At 47.6% G+C, this 17,830-nt stretch overlaps 1 protein-coding gene across 14 annotated transcripts in view; it reads left to right on the forward strand.

Moving 5' to 3' along the window:
- The window catches only part of RSPH10B2 (radial spoke head 10 homolog B2), a 46,666-nt gene that overhangs the window by 23,985 nt on the left and 4,851 nt on the right, over positions 1–17,830 (forward strand). For 10 of the 14 annotated variants that reach the window (XM_024446906.2, XM_047420782.1, XM_024446903.2 and 7 more), the window contains 8 exons: positions 273–462; positions 3,526–3,640; positions 4,725–4,804; positions 5,244–5,392; positions 9,865–9,972; positions 10,794–10,937; positions 13,547–13,675; positions 15,820–15,913. In XM_024446906.2, coding sequence (XP_024302674.1) covers positions 273–462; positions 3,526–3,640; positions 4,725–4,804; positions 5,244–5,392; positions 9,865–9,972; positions 10,794–10,937; positions 13,547–13,675; positions 15,820–15,913 — 1,009 coding nt within the window. Of the gene's footprint in view, positions 1–272; positions 463–3,525; positions 3,641–4,724; positions 4,805–5,243; positions 5,393–9,864; positions 9,973–10,793; positions 10,938–13,546; positions 13,676–15,819; positions 15,914–17,830 lie in introns of those variants that run through there. The other 4 variants (XM_024446904.2, XM_024446905.2, XM_047420783.1 and 1 more) reach the window with 2 other exon arrangements.

Raw genomic sequence — 17,830 nt, forward strand, 5'->3', positions numbered from 1 at the left:
TGATCTCGGCTCACTGCAACCTCCTCCCAGGTTCAAGCAATTCTGCCTCAGCCTCCTGAGTAGCTGGGGTTACAGGCATGTGCCACCACGGCCGGCTAATTTTGTATTTTTAGTAGAGATGGGGTTTCACCATGTTGGCCAGGCTGGTCTGGAACTCCTGACCTCAGGTGATCTGCCTGCCTCGGCCTCCCAAAGTGCTGGGATTACAGGCGTGAGCCACCACGCCCGGCTGTCTTTTGTTCTTAATCCACGTATGACTTTCTTCCTTTCAGGTGGAATATGCCGTCTTAAGAAATATTACAGAATTAAGAAGAATTTACAGCTTTTACAGCAGCCTGGGATGCGGCCACTCTCTGGATAATACCTTTCTGATGACAAAGCTTCACTTCTGGAGATTTCTAAAAGATTGCAAATTTCATCACCACAAACTAACTCTTGCTGATATGGACAGGATATTAAGTGGTGAGTGTTCCAGATCCTTCACATCTTTTGGTTTAAAGCAGAGGACCAGGCCGGGCACAGTGGCTCATGCCTGTACTTCCAGCACTTTGGGAGGCCGAGGCAGGCGGATCACGAGGTCAGGAGTTCAAGACCAGCCTGACCAACATGGTGAAACCCCGTCTCTACTAAAAGATACAAAAAATTAGCCAGGCGTGGTGGTGCATGCCTATAATCCCAGCCACTTGGGAGGCTGAGGCAGGAGAATCGCTTGGACCCAGGAGGCGGAGGTTGCAGTGAGCCAAGATTGTGCCATTGCACTCCAGCCTGGGTGACAGGGCGAGACTCCATCACACACACACACACACACACACACACACACACACACACACACACACACACACAAAAGGCAGGGGTCCCCAACCCCCAGGCCAGGGAGCAGTACTGGTCCATGGCCCGTTAGGAAACAGGCTACACAGTGGAAGGTGAGCAGTGGACAAGCAAGTGAACTTTCATCTGTTTTTTTGTTTTGTTTTGTTTTGTTTTTTTTGAGACAGAGTTTCACTCTTGTTGCCCAGGCTGGAGTGCAGTGGCACGATCTCGGCTCACCGCAACCTCTGTCTCCTGGGTTCAAGTGACTCTCCTGCCTCAACCTCCTGAGTAGCCGGGATTACAGGCATGTGCCACCATGCCCAGCTAATTTTTGTATTTTTTAGTAGAGATGGGGTTTTTCCATGTTGGTTAGGCGTGTCTCGAACTCCCGACCTCAGATGATCTGCCCGCCTTGGCCTCCCAAAGTGCTGGGATTACAGGCATGAGCCACCGCACCCAGCCTACCTTCATCTGTTTTTACAGCCATTCCCCATCGCTGGCATTCCCGCCTGAGCTCCGCCTCCTGCAGATCAGCAGGGCATTAGATTCTCATAGGAGCGCAAATCCTACTGTGAGCTGAGCATGGGAGGGATGTAGGTTGCACGCTCCTTAGGAGAATGGAATGCCTGATGATCTGTCACTGTCTCCCATCACCCCCAGATGGGACTGTCTAGTTGTAGGAAAACAAGCTTAGGGCTCCCACTGATTCTACCTGATGGCGAGTTGTAGAATTGTTTCATTATGTATTACAGTGTCATAATAATAGAAATAAGGCGTGCAGTAATTCGAATGTGCTTGAATCATCCTGAAACCAACAGCCCCCCACCGCTTTCCACCATTCATGGAAAAACTGTCTTCTACAAAATCGGTCCCTGGTGCCAAAAAGGTTGGGGACCTCTGGTTTCAAGGACAGTATCACAGTGTCACCTGGAAAGCAGTTAGGAAATGTGGAGGGAGCTGGGAAGGCCCAGGTTGGGAGACGAGTGTTCCAGAAATCAGCGCGTGGTCATTTCCCCCGTGATTACGAGGTACTTGATAAAGAGACAGTCTCGTGACGTAACAGCAACAGCACGAGGTCACCTACAAAAGCAGGGCCAGCAATGCACGGTCTCAGGGTGAAATCCAGTCCACCCCCGTTCCCCTAAATCATGCTTTACTGGAACACAGACATGCCCGTTTGCTTACGTGTTCGTGACTGCTTTACCCCGAAGCACCACAGCTGAGGGATTGTGATGTAGACGGTCTGGTCCACCAAGCCTAAAATATTTACTCTCTGGCCCTTTACAGAAAGTTTGCCTCCCTCTCTCCCCCTGACCAGCGATCTATAGTAAAAGAGCACTAAATTGTCAGGTCAGAAATGGGGAGATGGCCAGGCCTCGTGGTTTACGCCTGTAATCCCAGCACTTTGGAAGGCCGAGGCGGGTGGATCACTTGAGTCCAGGAGTTTGAGACCCGCCTGGCCAATATGGTGAAACTCCGTCTCTACTAAAAATACAAAAATTAGCCAGGTATGGTGGTACATGCCTGTATTCCCAGCTACTTATTGGGAGGCTGAGACAGGAGTAGAATCGTTTGAGCCTAGGAGGTGGAGGTTGCAGTGAGCCGAGATTTCCAGCCTGGGTGACAGAGTGAGACTCTGTCTCTAAAAAAAATGCGGTGGCTCACACCTGTAATCAGCACTTTGGGAGGCCGAAGTGGGCAGATCATGAGGTCAGGAGTTCAAGACCATCCTGGCTAACATGGTGAAACCCCGTCTCTACTAAAAATACAAAAAATTAGCTGGGTGTGGTGGTACGTGCCTGTAGTCCCAGCTACTCGGGAGGCTGAGGCAGAAGAATCGCTTGAACTCGCGAGGCGGAGGTTGCAGTGAGCCGAGATTGTGCCACTGCACTCCAGCCTGGGCAACAGAGTGAGACTCTGTCTCAAAAGAAAAAAAAAAAAACAAAACAGGGAGAATCAGCAATGGCTTGGAAGAGTCTAGAAAAGGCCCTAAGTAGTCTTAGGATTGGTCTTGATTTCAAATTAGGAAGTTGATGTCATCAATTTAACAACTTTGGAAGTTTAACTTCTTTCAGCCAAATCCTGGCAGGCAGAGCTGCAAGCTTCTAATTATCCGCTTGAAAAATGAAGTATTAGAGCAAATGCCTATTTACGTCAAAGTTTAGTGTTTGAAACATACTTAAAATCCATTTAGAATTAGCAGCATTCATCAGATTGTGTCTCAGACTATTCTGGAAAACAGTGGGACAAGATTGACATCTTTTTTTTTTTTTTTGAGATGAAGTCTCGCTCTGTTGCCCAGGCTGGAGTGCAGTGGCTCAATCTCGGCTCACTGCAGCCTCCACCTCCCGGGTTCCAGCGATTCTCCTGCCTCAGTCTCCCAAGCAGCTGAGATTACAGGTGCCCGCCACCACACCTGGCTAATTTTTTGTATTTTTGGTAGAGACAGGGTTTCGCCATGTTGCCCAGGCTGGTCTCAAACTCCTGACCTCAGGCAGTTTGCTGCTGCAGCCTCCCAAAGTGCTGGGATTACAGGCGTGAGCCACCGTGCCTGGCTTTCACGGAGTTTTAAATTTTTGGTTGGACGCTTATACACATGTTCAGAGCATTTTGAAATAAGCGCATATATTCAGTTCTTCGAATTGTATACCAGGCGCAAATAAAATGGAAGGTTCTAGCAAATGTCAGGCATCCTCTCCAATTTTCTTATTTTAGCCAATAATGACATACCAGTTGAAGAAATCCATTCTCCATTTACAACAATACTTTTGAGAACATTTTTGAATTACCTCCTGCATTTGGCGTACCACATTTATCATGAAGAATTCCAGTAAGTACTATTTCTGGACCCTTGTTGGGGGATGGGGCACAGCTAAGCTGTATTATTGTCATAATGCCCTCTTTTCTTCAGCAGTCATTTTTATTTTTTTGGAGATGGAGTCTTGCTCTGTCGCCCAGGCTGGAGTGCAGTGGCACAATCTTGGCTTACTGCAACCTCTGCCTCCCCGGTTCAAGCAATTCTTCTGCCTCGGGCTCCTGGGTAGCTGAGATGACAGGCATGTGCCACCATGCCTGGCTAATTTTTTTTTTTTTTTTTTTTGTATTTTTAGTAGAGACGGGGTTTCACCATGTTGGCCAGGCTGGTTTCAAACTCCTGACCTCAGGTGATCCACCTGCCTCAGCCTCTCAAAGTTCTGGGATTACAGGCGTGAGCCACCATGCCCAGCCTCAGCAGTCTTTTTTTAACATACTCTTGAAATGAAGGACTCAGAACACAACCTTTCCACAAATATTAACCACAAAGCCATGACATACTGGATCAAAACTTTGAAAGCCCTTCATATCTGGTCAGTTCAATACTGCAAATATCTCTCGGGGTTTCTAATGCAGAAACAAATAGTCACAACCAAGTCTTCTTTCTTACATCAGAATTTCTTGTCTTTCTTACAGCAAAAGTGGTTTTATATCTTTTTTTAAAAAAACTTTTATTTACATATTTATTTTTTTGAGATGGAATCTCGCTCTGTCACCCAGGCTGGAGTGCAGTGGCGCGATCTCGGCTCACTGCAACCTCCACCTCCCAGGTTCCAGTGATTCTCCTGCCTCAGCCTCCCAAGTAGCTGGGATTACCGGTGTCTGCCACCAAGCCCAGCTAATTTTTTGTATTTTTAGTGGAGATGGGGTTTCACCATGTTGGCCAGGCTGGTCTTAAACTCCTGACCTCGAGTGATCCGCCCACCTTGGCCTCCCAAAATGCTGGGATTATAGGTTTGAGCCACTGACTTTGCCTTCCCTTTCTATACTCTATACATTAGAAGCAAATTATTAAGTCTAGCCCGTGCTCAAGGAGAAGGGAATTATGTTCCCTCTTTTGGAGGAGAAGTAACTATGGTATCTTTTGATGATTATCACAGAAAGAGAAGCCCATCCCTCTTCTTGTGTTTTACAAAACTGATGACCGAGAACATTCGTCCAAATGCCTGCCAGATAAAAGGTAAATACAAAACCAATAGGATTCTATTTACCGCCCCATTTTTTTTTCTCAAAATATAAATCTGGGCTGGGCGCAGTGGCTCACTCCTGCAATCCCAGCACTTTGGGAGGCCGAGGCAGGAGGATCACCTGAGGTCAAGGAGTTCAAGACCAACCTGGCCAACATGGCAAAACCCCATCTCTACTAGAAATACAAAAAAATTAGCCAGGTATGGTGGTGCATGCCTGTAATCCTAGCTACTCGGGAGGCTGAGGCAGGAGAATCGCTTGAGCCTGGGGGGCGGAGGTTGCAGCGAGCCAAGATGGTGCCACTGCACTCTAGCCTGGGTGACATCAAGACTCTGTCTCGGAAAAAAACAAAAGCAATAGGATTATATTTACTGCTATTTTTTTTCTCAAAACATAAATCTGTAATCATTTTTCGAACGTTGTATTTTTAGGCAATTTATTCCGTGAGCAACAGCGGACGCTCTACTCTATGAGTTACATGAATAAGTGCTGGGAGATTTATCTCGCTTACTGCAGACCCAGTGCAGCGCCTCCCCACGAGCCTACGATGAAGATGAGACACTTCCTCTGGATGCTGAAAGTAACCACCTAAGTTCGATATTGGCTTTCTATTTACAGGCACTTTGATTTTAATTAAAGAAAGGCAGGATATTCCAGCTGTGATATGCAAATTATCAGGTGAAGATCTGGGCTGGGTTTTCAGGACCATTAAATGTTTACTGAGTCTCTTGGCAGAACAGTGGTCTGTGGTCGTGGAAGGAACAGAAACAGCTGTCACCTGCCCAATATGCTAACAGATTAGGGCAAGACAATGGTCCATGGCCTATAACAATGGCCCATGGCATGCGTATATATATATATTGCAATCCCAGCACTTTGAGAGGCCGAGGCGGGCGGATCACCTGAGGTCAAGGAGTTCAAGACCAGCATGGACATATATATTTATATATGCCATGGGCCATTGTCTTAAAAAATATATATATATATAAATATATATATAATAAATATATATATTTTTTTAATTTTATTTTTTTGAGACGGAGTTTTGCTCTTGTCACTCAGGCTGGAGTGCAATGAAGTGATCTTGGCTCACTGCAACCTCCACCTCCTGGGTTCAAGCAATTCTCCTGCCTCAGCCTCCTAAGTAGCTGGGATTACAGGTGCCCGCCACCACACCTGGCTAATTTTTGTATTTTTAGTAGAGACGGGTTTTCACCATGTTGCCCAGGCTGGTCTTGACCTCCCAACCCCAGGTGATCCACCCGCCTCAGCCTCCCTAAGTGCCGGAATTACAGGTGTGAGACACTGTGCCTGACTGGCCTACAATATCTTTATTCATGCAGATCCAGCCATTTAAAGGAAGATAGGGCCGAGTACAGCGGGGCACCCCTGTAATTCCAGCACTTTGGGAGGCCGAGGCAGGAGGATCACTTGAGCTTAGGAATTCAAGACCAGCCTGGGCAACATAGTGAGATCCCCCTCTCTACAAAAAATAAAAAAATCATAGCCGGGCGTGGTAGTGCACGCCTGTAGTCCCAGCTACTCGGGAAGCTGTAGTAAGCTGTGATCGTGCCACTGCATTCCAGGCTGGTTGACAGAGTGAGGCCCTGTCCCAAAAAAATCCCCCAAAAAACAAAAAAGGAAAATGGAGGAACACCTTAGTCTTTTTGATGGACTGAAGTGTTGCCTGATCCTAGAATAGCAATAAAGTCAACTGAAATCTTTTTAAAAAGGAAGGACTTTGGAAGGCAGAGGGGGTGGATCACCTGAGGTCAGGAGTTTGAGACCAGCCTGGCCAATGCTGTGAAACCCCCTTTCGACTAAAAATACAAAAAAATTAGCCAGGCATGGTGGCCAGAGCCTGTAATCCCAGCCACTTCGGAGGCTGAGGCAGGAGAATTGCTTGAACCTGGGAGGCCGAGGTTGCAATGAGCTGGAATTGTGCCACTGCACTCCAGTCTAGGCAACAAGAGCAGAACTCTGTCTCAAAAAAAAACTAAGGAAGTGGGGAGGATGGATATCATTTAAAACAATTACAGTTTATCGAAAAAGGAATTTTTAAAAGTTATTACTTGGGAAAATAGTGACAACATCTATACAATGTTCTCATACTAACTATTGGTTGTTTTTGTTCCATGATACTTTTTTTTTTTTAGACAAAGTCTCGCTCTTTTGCCAGGGTGGAGTGCAGTGGTGAGGTCTCGGCTCACTGCAACCTCCGCCTCCCGGGTTCAAGCAATTCTCCTGCCTCAGCCTCCCGAGTAGCTGGGACTAAAGGCGTGCATGACCATGCCAAGTTAATTTTTGTATTTTTTAGTAGAGACAGTGTTTCACTGTGTTAGCAAGGATGATCTCAATCTCTTGACCTCGTGATCCGCCCGTGTCGGACTCCCAAAGTGCTGGGATTACAGGCGTGAGCCACTGTGCCTGGCCTGTTCCATGGTACTTTTAATTTGTACTTGTGGGAATACAAATGATTAAACAGAATCAAATACTAATGATACAGTGTTTTTACAAATTTCATAATGTTGTATACATATGAAAAATGGATAATAACCTAGTGTCTAACTATAGGAAAATAGTTTTGTTTTTTTGAGCAAGGTTCTCACTCTGTCACCCAGGCTGGAGTACAGTGGTGCAATCTTGGCTTCCTGCAACCTCAACCTCCCAGGTTCAAGCAATCCTCCCACCTCAGCCTCCTGAATAGCTGGGACTACATGTGTGTGCCAACATACCCAGCTAATTTTTCTATTTTTTGTAGAGACGGGTTATTGCCATGTTGCCCAGGCTGATCTTGAACTCCTGGGCTCAAGCAGTCCTCGTGCCTCGGCCTCCTGAAGTGCTGGGATTACAGGCGTGAGCCACTGCACCTGGCCCTTTTCATGGTTTCATTTGTTTCAAGCATGTTTGCAATTGCCCATTGAATAATAATAATAATAATAATTATTATTATTATTATTTTGACAGTCTTGCTCTGTCGCCCAGGCTGGAGTGCAGCGACCTGATCTTGGCTCACTGCAACCTCCGCCTCCCGGGTTCAAGTGATTCTTCTGCCTCAGCCTCCCGAGTAGCTGGGATTACAGGTGCATGTCACCACGCTCGGCTAGTAGAGACGGTTTCACCCTGTTGCCCAGGCTGGTCTCAAACTCCTGAGCTCAGGTGATCCAACCATCTCGGCCTCCCACAGTGCTAGGATCAGAGGCATGAGCCACCACACCCAGCCTCATGGAAGCATTTTTGTGATGACTGTCTCACAGTCTCTGTCAGTCAATTGTAACATCTTTGTCATCTTGGAGATGGCATCTGTGGATTCTCTTTTTTTCATTCAGTTTGAGATCTTCCTGGTTCTTGGTATGAGTTTTTTTTTTGTTGTTGTGTTTTTGAGATGGAGTCTTGCTCTGTCTCCCAGACTGGACTGCAGTGGCGTGATCTCAGCTCACTGCAACCTCTGCCTCCTGGTTCAAGTGATTCTCCTGCCTCAGCCTCCCAAGTAGCTGGGATTATAGGTGCGTGCCACCATGCCAGGCTAATTTTTGTATTTTTAGTAGAGACGGGGTTTCTCCATGTTGGCCAGGGTTTCACCATGTTGCCCAGGCTGGTCGGTATGAGTGATTTAAAAAAAAAAACATTGAAACCTGAACATTTGAGTACAGTAAGTCCTCACTTAACATTATTATTATTATTATTTTGAGACAGTCTTGCTCTGTCACCCAGGCTGGAGTGCGGTGGCACGATCTCACCTCACTGCAACCTCTGCCTCCTGGGCTCAAGTGATTCCCTTGCCTCAGCCTCCCGAGTAGCTGGGACTACAGGCACATGCCACCATGCCCAGCTAATTTTTTTGTATTTTTAGTAGAGATGCGGTTTGTCCATGTTGGCCAGGATGGTCTGGATCTCTTGACCTCGTGAGCCGCCTGCCTCGGCCTCCCAAAGTGCTGGGATTACAGGTGTGAGCCACCGCGCCCGGCCCCACATAACGTTATTGATAGGTTCTTGGAAACTGTGACTTCAACCAGTGCCGTGTGGTCAGGAGCTTAACTCTTCTTCATGTCAATTATTCTGCGGTCACATCGGTTTTGTTGTGCAGCACGTTGTTTCCCGACGTGCTTTTCGGCCTACAGCATCGTGTTAATATTTCACACCTGGACCGTGTTCTGGTCTCCCATGTTCTATGTCCTGTTCTGATGCCAACAAATACTCTGCTGTTATTTTGGAGGCACTAGAGAAGGGATAGAGAGGTAAATACGTGTGTGTGTGTGTGTGTGTGTGTGTGTGTGTGTGTGTGTGTGTGTGTGTTTGAGACAGGTTCTTGCTTTGTTACCCAGGCTGGAGTGCAGTGTTATGATCACAGCTCACAGTAGCCTCAAACTCCTGGACTTAAGTGATCCTCCCACCTCAGCCTCCTGAGTAGCTGGGACTGCAGGCATGCACCACCATGCTCGGCCTACATTTTTAATTTTGTGTAAAGACAGGGTCTTGCTATGTTGCCCAGGCTGATCCCCAACGCCTGGGCTCAAGTGATCCTCCCACGTCGGCCTCACAAGGTTCTGGGATTACAGGTGTGAGCCACCATGTCTGGCCGCAAATGCCCATGTTAATCCAGAATGCTTTTCAAAATTATCAGTCTTTAAGATATTAATTTATGGCTGGGCGCAATGTCTCACGCCTGTAATCCCAGCACTTTGGGAGGCCGAGGCAGGCGGCTCACTTGAGGTCAGGAGTTTGAGACCAGCCTGGCCAACATATAGTGAAACCCCATCTCTACTAAAAATACAAAAATTAGCTGGACGTGGTGGTGTGTTCCTGTAGTCCCAGCTACTTGGGAGGCTGAGGCAGGAGAATCACTTGAACCCAGGAGGTGGAGGTTGCAGTGAGCTGAGATTGCGCCACTGCCTAGCAGCCTGGGCGACAGAGCGAGACTCCGTCTCTCAAAAAAAAGAAAAAAGATATTAATTTCTGGTATACTTTCTTAGTTATTGTATTGATATAAATTGACATTAAAACATATAGCTGTTTACAATTATAGGCAGTTATGGTTTTTCTTTTTTACAGGACTTTAAAATGATAAATAAAGAATTAACAGCAGCTACATTTATGGAGGTCATAGCAGAGGATAATCGTTTCATATATGATGGAATTGACAGCAACTTTGAACCTGAGGTTTGTAAAGAGCCATCACAAATGGTACAGATCCAATTCAGGCTGTTGGTTTTGCCATGGATACCAAGGACAAAGAACCAAGATTTTTTTTTTCTTTTTTTCATTAGCCTTTTCACTGATGCTTTTTTTTTTTTTTTTTTTGGAGACGGAGTCTCAGTCTGTTGCCCAGGCTGGAGTGTGCAGTGGCACAATCTCTGCTCACTGCAAGCTCCGCCTCCCGGGTTCACGCCATTCTCCTGCCTCAGCCTCCCGAGTAGCTGAGACTACAGGCGCCCGCCACCACGCCCGGCTAATTTTTTTTTTTTTTGTATTTTTTTTTAGTAGAGACGGAGTTTCACCGTGTTAGCCAGGATGGTCTTGATCTCCTGACCTCGTGATCCACCTGCCTCGGCCTCCCAAAGTGCTGGGATTACAGGCATGAGCCACCGCGCCCAGCCTTCAGCTGATTTTTTAAAAACAATTTTTTGTACAGAATGGGTCTCACTGTGTTGCCCAGGCTGATCTCAAACTCCTGGGCTCAAATGATCCTCCTGCCTCAGCCTCCTAAAGTGCTGAGATTGCAGATGTGAGCCACTGTGACCAGCCTAAGAACCAAGATTTGATTGAAAGCACTCTGAACACAAGTACCTAATATATGTGTGTGCGTGTCTGTGCGTGTGTGTGCATGTGTGTGTGTCTTTGTGCACATGTCTGCATGTCTGTGTGTGTGTGGGCAAACGTGCATATTCAGATGTCAGGAAATAATGAACACCAGTCAATCAATGCTCTGTCTCCAGGTGTGTCAGAATGATGGAAACTCTCTGTGTTTTATTTTATTTCAGCTGGTTTTCCTGGAATTCTTTGAAGCTCTCTTAAGCTTTGCATTCATCTGTGTTACTGACCAAATGACTAAATCCTATACAAATGTTCCAGCTGATGATGTGTCTGGAAATAAACATGAAACTATTTATACAATACTAAATCAGGTAACACATAATATCTTAGAATTAGGTAATCTTAGAATTACAGAGCAAGGAGGGCTGGGCACGGTGGCTCACGCCTGTAATCCCAGCACTTTGGGAAGCCGAGGCGGACGGATCACGAGGTCAGAAGATCGAGACCATCCTGGCTAACGTGGTGAAACCCTGTCTCTATTAAAACTACAAAAAAATTAGCCGGGCGTGGTGGCAGGCACCTGTAGTCCCAGCTACCGGGGAGGCTGAGGCAGGAGAATGGCGTGAACCCAGGAGGTGGAGGTTGCAGTGAGCTGAGATTGTGCCACTGCACTCCATCCTGGGCGTCAGAGCAAGACTTCTCAAAACAAAACAAAAAAACCAAACAAACAAAAAGAATTACAAAGCAAGGAATGGCTTTATTCTGGAATGGTTAAACCATCATCAAAACTATCTTGGCTTTACTAACCCTTCCAGAAAGTAATTTAAGAAGTCTTTCCGTTTTCCTTTTAAAATTTTATTTTATGTGTTTTGAGACAGGGATTCACTCTATTGTCCAGGCTTGAGTGCAGTGGTGGAATCATGCCTCACTGTAGCCTTGACCTCCTGAGCTCACACGTTCCTCCCATCTTAGCCTCCTGAGTAGCTAGGACTACAGGCATGTGTCACCACACCCAGCTAATTCTTTTTTTTTTTTTTTTTTTGAGACAGAGCTTCATTCTGTTGCCCAGGCTGGAGTGCGGTGGCACGATCTCGGCTCACTGCAATCTCCGCCTCCTGGATTCAAGTGATTCATGCCTCAGCCTCCTGAGTAGCTGGGATTACAGGCGTGTGCCACCATACCTGGCTAATTTTTTATATTTTTAGTAGAGACGGGGTTTCGCCATGTTGACCAGGCTGGTCTCGAACTCCTGACCTCAGTTGATCCGCCTGCCTTGGCCTCCCAAAGTGCTGGGATTAGGCCTGAGCCACTGTGCCTGGCCTTTTTGTATTTTTTTGTAGGGATGGGGTTTTGCCATGTTGTCCAGGCTGGTCTCAAACTCCTGAGCTCAAGTGATCCTCCTGCCTCGGCCTCCCAAAGTGCTGGGATTACAGGTGTGAGCCACCATGCCCGGCCAAGATGTCTTTTTCACATTTTGGAAGTGTATATAGATTTTTTTAAGTTAGGGGAAATGTGTTTCCTGGCCATGATCCAGGAAGTGGACTCCTAGCCACAGCAGAGAGTTGCCGATGAAGGTGACAGTGCATACCGACATGCTGGGTGGGCCGCTAGACCACACTTTAGAAAATCAGAGGTGTTTTACTAGGAGATGTTTCGTTATATGGATCCAGTGTTTCTAAGAGTGGAAAGCCTGCTCAAGAGCAGATGTGTCGAATAGTTCCTGAGTGTGCGTGGGATGCTAACCAGGTCCGCAGGGCTTGCTCACAAGCATGGACACCCAGGCCAGGCGCGGTGGCTCACGCCTGTAATCCCAGCACTTTGGGAGGCCAAGGTGGGCGGATCACTTGAGGTCAGGAATTCGAGACCAGCCTGGCCCACCGTGGTGAAACCCCGTCTCTACTAAAAAGACACTGGAAACTGAACGTTCATGTCGTGCTCCCTTTTGACCAACAATTTGGGAGTGTGATTTAGAGATCAGAGAGAGGCTCAGCTTCAAACTTATCAAAGCTGATCCTTCTTGCTCAGCTCACAGTGGTTTCACACGCTCTAGTAATTTGGGGAGGCAAAGGTAGAATTCTGTTCCACAGAGGTAAGTGTGCTATGAAGAGGGACAGCAAGCTCCAGACATGTGCAGAAGGCTCCCCTTGAGCCGTCAGCTGAGTGTGCATGCATGTGAGGGAACAGCTGGAACCTAAGGGAAGAGCCGCCAGCAAGCAGGGGAGGGACCTCAAGGACTCACGCGGGGCTGGGAGTAGTTTGCATTTCCAGTCGCCAGCGTAGAGAAGCCTTCGCATCCATGAGGGGCATCAGGCTGGGTACTTAAAAGTTCACTCTGTGTGTGTGTGTGTGTTTCTTGTTTGTTTTTTTTTGACAAAGTCTTGCTCTGTTGCCCAGGCTCGAGTGCAGTGGCACAATCTTGGCTCACTGCAGCCTCTGCCTCCCAGGTTCAGGGTGATTCTTCTGCCTTGGCCTCCCAAGCAGCTGGGATTACAGGTGCACACCGCCACACCTGGCCAATTTTTGTATTTTTAGTAAAGACAGGGTTTCACCGTGTTGGCCAGCCTGGTCTTGCACTCCCGGCCTCAAGTGATCCGCCCGCCTCATTCTCTGAAACTTCTGGGATTACAGGCATGAGCGAAGCGCCTGCCCTGTTATTTATTTTTTTTAGAGACAGGGTCTTGCTCTCTTGCCCAGGCTGGTCTCAAACCCCTGGGCTCAGGTGATCCGCCCACCTTGGCCTCCCAAAGTGCTGAGATTACAAGCGGGAGCCACTGTGCCTGATTCGGTTCACTCTCTTGACTGAGGCGATGGTTTCACAGGTATAGATGTGTGAAAACACATCAAAGGGTACAGTTTATGTGTAGTTCATTGTAAATCAGTTACAGCCCATTAAAATATTGCGTGTGTGCATGTATGTATGCCTGTATGGATCTCTATGGAAACCAGAAGCCCTCTGACGCGTGTGTTTGTTCTTGCTTAGGACGCCCAGAACAAGAGTCCCAGCGCGGTCATGAGCCACGAATCGGATGCTGCTCACTCTGACAGTGCCAGGTCATCTTCCAGCAAGTTAGAACTCTCGCCTGATGTTAACAAAATAAGGAAATCAGAGGTTTGTCTTGGCAACTAACCGTGTAGAGACACCCGCTACCGAGTGCCTGCTCTGCGAAGAGCTCTTTTCCATGCTCTGGGGACCTAGCAGTGAACAGAAACCCACGCCCTCATGGGCTTTACTTTCCAGTGAGGAGGGGACACGGCAGCAAGTGAACAGCAGTAATAGCGTTTATGGGTGTTTACCAGGCGCCGAGCTGTCCCCAGGGACCAGCTCAGCATCCCCATGACCTTCAGGTACTGTGATTCTCTCTAGGAGGGAACCCAGGCCCAGAAAGGTTAAATAGCTTGGCCACAGCTGCATAACCAGTAAGGCATGGAGCTGGGGGTTTGTGCCCAGGCACTTTAACTCCAGAATTAGCACCGGTTACCGCAAGCTATGCTTCTTCCCACTTACGAGGTCTAAGTGACAGGAAGGGCATGTGGCCGGGGCGGGGGGTCCTGGCGTTTATTCTGGGTGAGTGGGATGGGATGGGACACCATCTGAGCAGAGGTGTCAGGAGGCTCTGTGGCTTCACTGTTGACAAACCAGTGAGGAAGCTCTTGGAACCATCCCGCTGGGAGGTGATGGTGACTGGGACTAAGGTGGGCTGAGGTCTGAGGTGTTTTGAAGGGTGCAGGGGTTGAAAGGCAAAGAGAAGGCAAAGATGAGTCCAAGATTTTTTGGCTGAGCATTGGCAGAATGGAGTTGCCATTTATGATGATGTGGAAGACGGAGGCAGGGGGCTGAGTTTTGGGAGCAAAATTAAGTGGTTGATTTTGGACAAGTTAAGCTTAAGGTGCCTGAACTGATGCCCAAGTAGCATGGCTGGAGGCAAGACTGGAGTTCAAGGGCAAACTCCGGCTGGAGGTAGAAATATGGGGGTTAGGGCATACATGTGGTGATTAAAGCCGTTAGGTCGGGCGAGGTGGCTCACGCCTGTCATCCCAGCACCTTGGGAGACCGAGGTGGGTGGGTCACTTGAGGTCAGGAGTTCGAGACCAGCCTGGCCAACATGGTGAAACCCCATCTCTGCTAAAATATATAAAAATTAGCCAGGCCTGGTGGCAGGTGCTTGTAATCCCAGCTATTCAGGAGGCTGAGGCAGGAGAATTGCTTGAACCTGGGAGGCAGAGGTGGCAGTGAGCCGGGATCCAAGATCACACCACTGCACTCCAGCCTGGGCAACAGAGTGAGATTCCGTCCCAAAAAATGTAATAATAATTAAAGCCATTAGTATATGAATCTAAGTATGGTTAAATTTTTTTTTTTTTGAGACAGAGTCTCGCTCTGTCGCCCAGGCTGGAGTGCAGTGGTGCGATCTTGGATCTCCGCTCATTGCAAGCTCTGCCTCCCGGGTTCACGCCATTCTCCTGCCTCAGCCTCCTGAGTAGCTAGGACTACAGGCACCCACCCCCACGCCCGGCTAATTTTTTGTGTTGTTAGTAGAGATGGGGTTTCACCCATGTTAGCCAGGATGGTCTCGATCTCCTGACCTTGTGATCCACCTGTCTTGGCCTCCCAAAGTGCTGGGATTACAGGCATGAGCCACCACGCCTAGCCGGTATCATTAATTTTATACAATAAATACTGTACCAACAGACCCAGGTGACATTTTCAAGTTTTGGGGGTTTTTTTTGAGAGGCTTTCAGTAAATGCCATAATTCTGTTATTCATTTCATTAATAATATAAATATTTTATTCAGGTTAAAATAGTCAAATTGGCTGGGTGTGGTGGCTCACACCTGTAATCCCAGCACTTTGGGAGGCCAAGGCAGGCAGGTCACCTGAGGTCAGGAGTTCGAGACCAGCCTGGCCAATATGGTGAAACCCCATCTCTACTAAAAATACAAAAATTAGCCTGGTGTAGTGGCGCATGCCTGTAGTGCAGCTACCCAGGGAAGCTGAGGCAGGAGAATTGCTGGAACCCGAGAGGCGGAGGCTGCAGTGAGCCGAGATCGCGCCACTGCACTCCAGCCTGGGCAACAGAGCAAGACTCTGTCTCAAAAAAAAAAAAAAAAAAAAGTCAAATTAAAGTCAAATTAGCTCAAGGAGAACAGCCTCATTAATAATTTTCTAATTAATTAAAGTATAAAAAAGCAGTTTTAACCCCATAATGATGTAAACGTAATATTTTGCTTTATGATTTTTTTAAAATGCAAAAGCCCAAGATCAAGAAGTCTGTAAGTCATGAAAGAGTCTCCAAAATGAATTTTAAATTGACTGGAAAAGGGATCACCTTTTTCTCATCTGAGAGCAGTGAGTATTTTAATTGTAGAACCTTAATATTTACAAACTGTTGCTTATGAATTATATAATGTCTATACTGTTTTACAACCATCTTTTTTTAATTTTTAGTTTCTTAGAGGCAGAGTCTCGCTATGTTGTCCAGGCTGGTCTTGAACTCCTGGGCTCAAGCGATCCTCCCACCTCGGCCTCCCGAGTAACTGGGATTACAAGTAGGCATCACCACACCCAGCACAACCATCTTTTTAAATAATGAGGCTGGTACAGCTGCTTCTGTTTCTCCTCCCTGGTTTGGAGTTCAAGTTCAAGGCGTGACCTTGCTGTGCTGACTCAGTCTGTTAGGGCAGATGCCAGTATGGGACAGCTGGGCCTCCCCTGGGCCCTGCACGCCCATCTCAGAGTCTGATGCCGTTGACTACATTGTTTTCTTACAGGCAACTTTTCTCTCTCAAGGGTCTCATTCTCTCGGATTTTTAAAGGTGCTCAAATTAAAAACAACACACAACCCTTATTCACTTCCTCATCCTCCTGTTTTATTATGTTTTCCTTTATCCTGGGAAGATCGCTCTTGAGGCCTCTCTGTCTGCTGACTGCGCTTCCTCCCTCTGGTCTGATTCCTCAGCCGTGTCCGTGTGAACTTCCAACCTCATGCCTCTGCTTTCCTCAGGGTCATCCAGTGATGATCAATGTCATGGGAATTTTCCGCTGTTACTCTGCCGGCCTTGCCAGTTGCACGTGGCCTTGTTTTCATGATTAAACAAGCCCTGGTGTTTCCCCTTTTCTTTTCTTTTCTTTTTCTTTTTTTGAGACAGGGTTTTACTTTCTTGCCCAGGCTAGAGTGCAGTGGTGCCATCATAGCTCACTGCAACCTCTGCCTCCTGGGTTCAAGTGATTCTCCTGCCTCAGCCTCCCTAGTAGCTGGGATTACAGGCACCCATCACTGCACCTTGTATTTTTAGTAGATGGGGTTTCATGATGTTGGCCAGGGTGGTCTCAAACTCCTGACCTCAGGTGATCTGCCTGCCTCGGCTTCCTAAAGTTCTGAGATTACAGGTGTGAGCCCACCCGCCCCTGGGCATTTTTTTTTTTTTTTTTTTTTTTTAAAGAGGTGGGTTCTTGCTCTGTTGCCCAGGCTGGTCTTGAACTCCTGGATCCAAGAACTCCTGGATCTGAACGCCTTGACTCCCAAAGTGCTGAGGTTACAGGTATGAGCCCAACCGCGCCTGGTCTTTTTTTGTTTGTTTGTTAAAGAGATGGGGTCTTGCTATGTTGCCCAGGCTGGTCTTGAACTCCCGGGCCCAAGTGATCTTCCCGCCTTGGCGTCCCAAAGCACTGGGATTACAGGTGTGAGCCACTGCGCCTGGCCCTCCCCCTTTTCTGACGGCGTCTCTCTATGGCCGGCCACCCACTCAATGGTGGACTTTTAAAGGCTCCGTCCCGGGGCCTTGTCTTCTCAAAGGCCTCCCCTGTGTATCCCCCTCTACAGTGCCTGTCGTTTCCCGTTACTCCTCCTCCAGTGGATCATTCCCATCGGCACACATGTGCTGCATATGCCCAGTTAGGAAAATCTCTTCTCTTGGCCGGGCATGGTGGCTCACACTTGTAATCCCAGAACTTTGGGAGGCCGAGGCAGGCAGATCACAAGGTCAGGAGTTCGAGACCAGCGCGACCAATATAGTGAAACCCCATCTCTACTAAAAATACAAAAATTAGCCAGGTGTGGTGGCACACGCCTGTAGTCCCAGCTACTTGGGAGGCTGAGGTGAGAGAACTGCTTGAACCCAGGAGGCAGAGGTTGCAGTGAGCTGAGACCATGCCATTGCATTCCAGCCTGGGTGACAGTGAGACTCCATATCAAAAAAAAAAAAAGGAAAAAAGGAAAATCTCTTCTCCCACTTTCCCCTCTAGATCCCACTTTCTTTCCCTGCT

The sequence above is a fragment of the Homo sapiens genome, chromosome 7 (assembly GCF_000001405.40).
Source record: "Homo sapiens chromosome 7, GRCh38.p14 Primary Assembly".
NCBI classification, from domain to species: domain Eukaryota; kingdom Metazoa; phylum Chordata; class Mammalia; order Primates; family Hominidae; genus Homo; species Homo sapiens.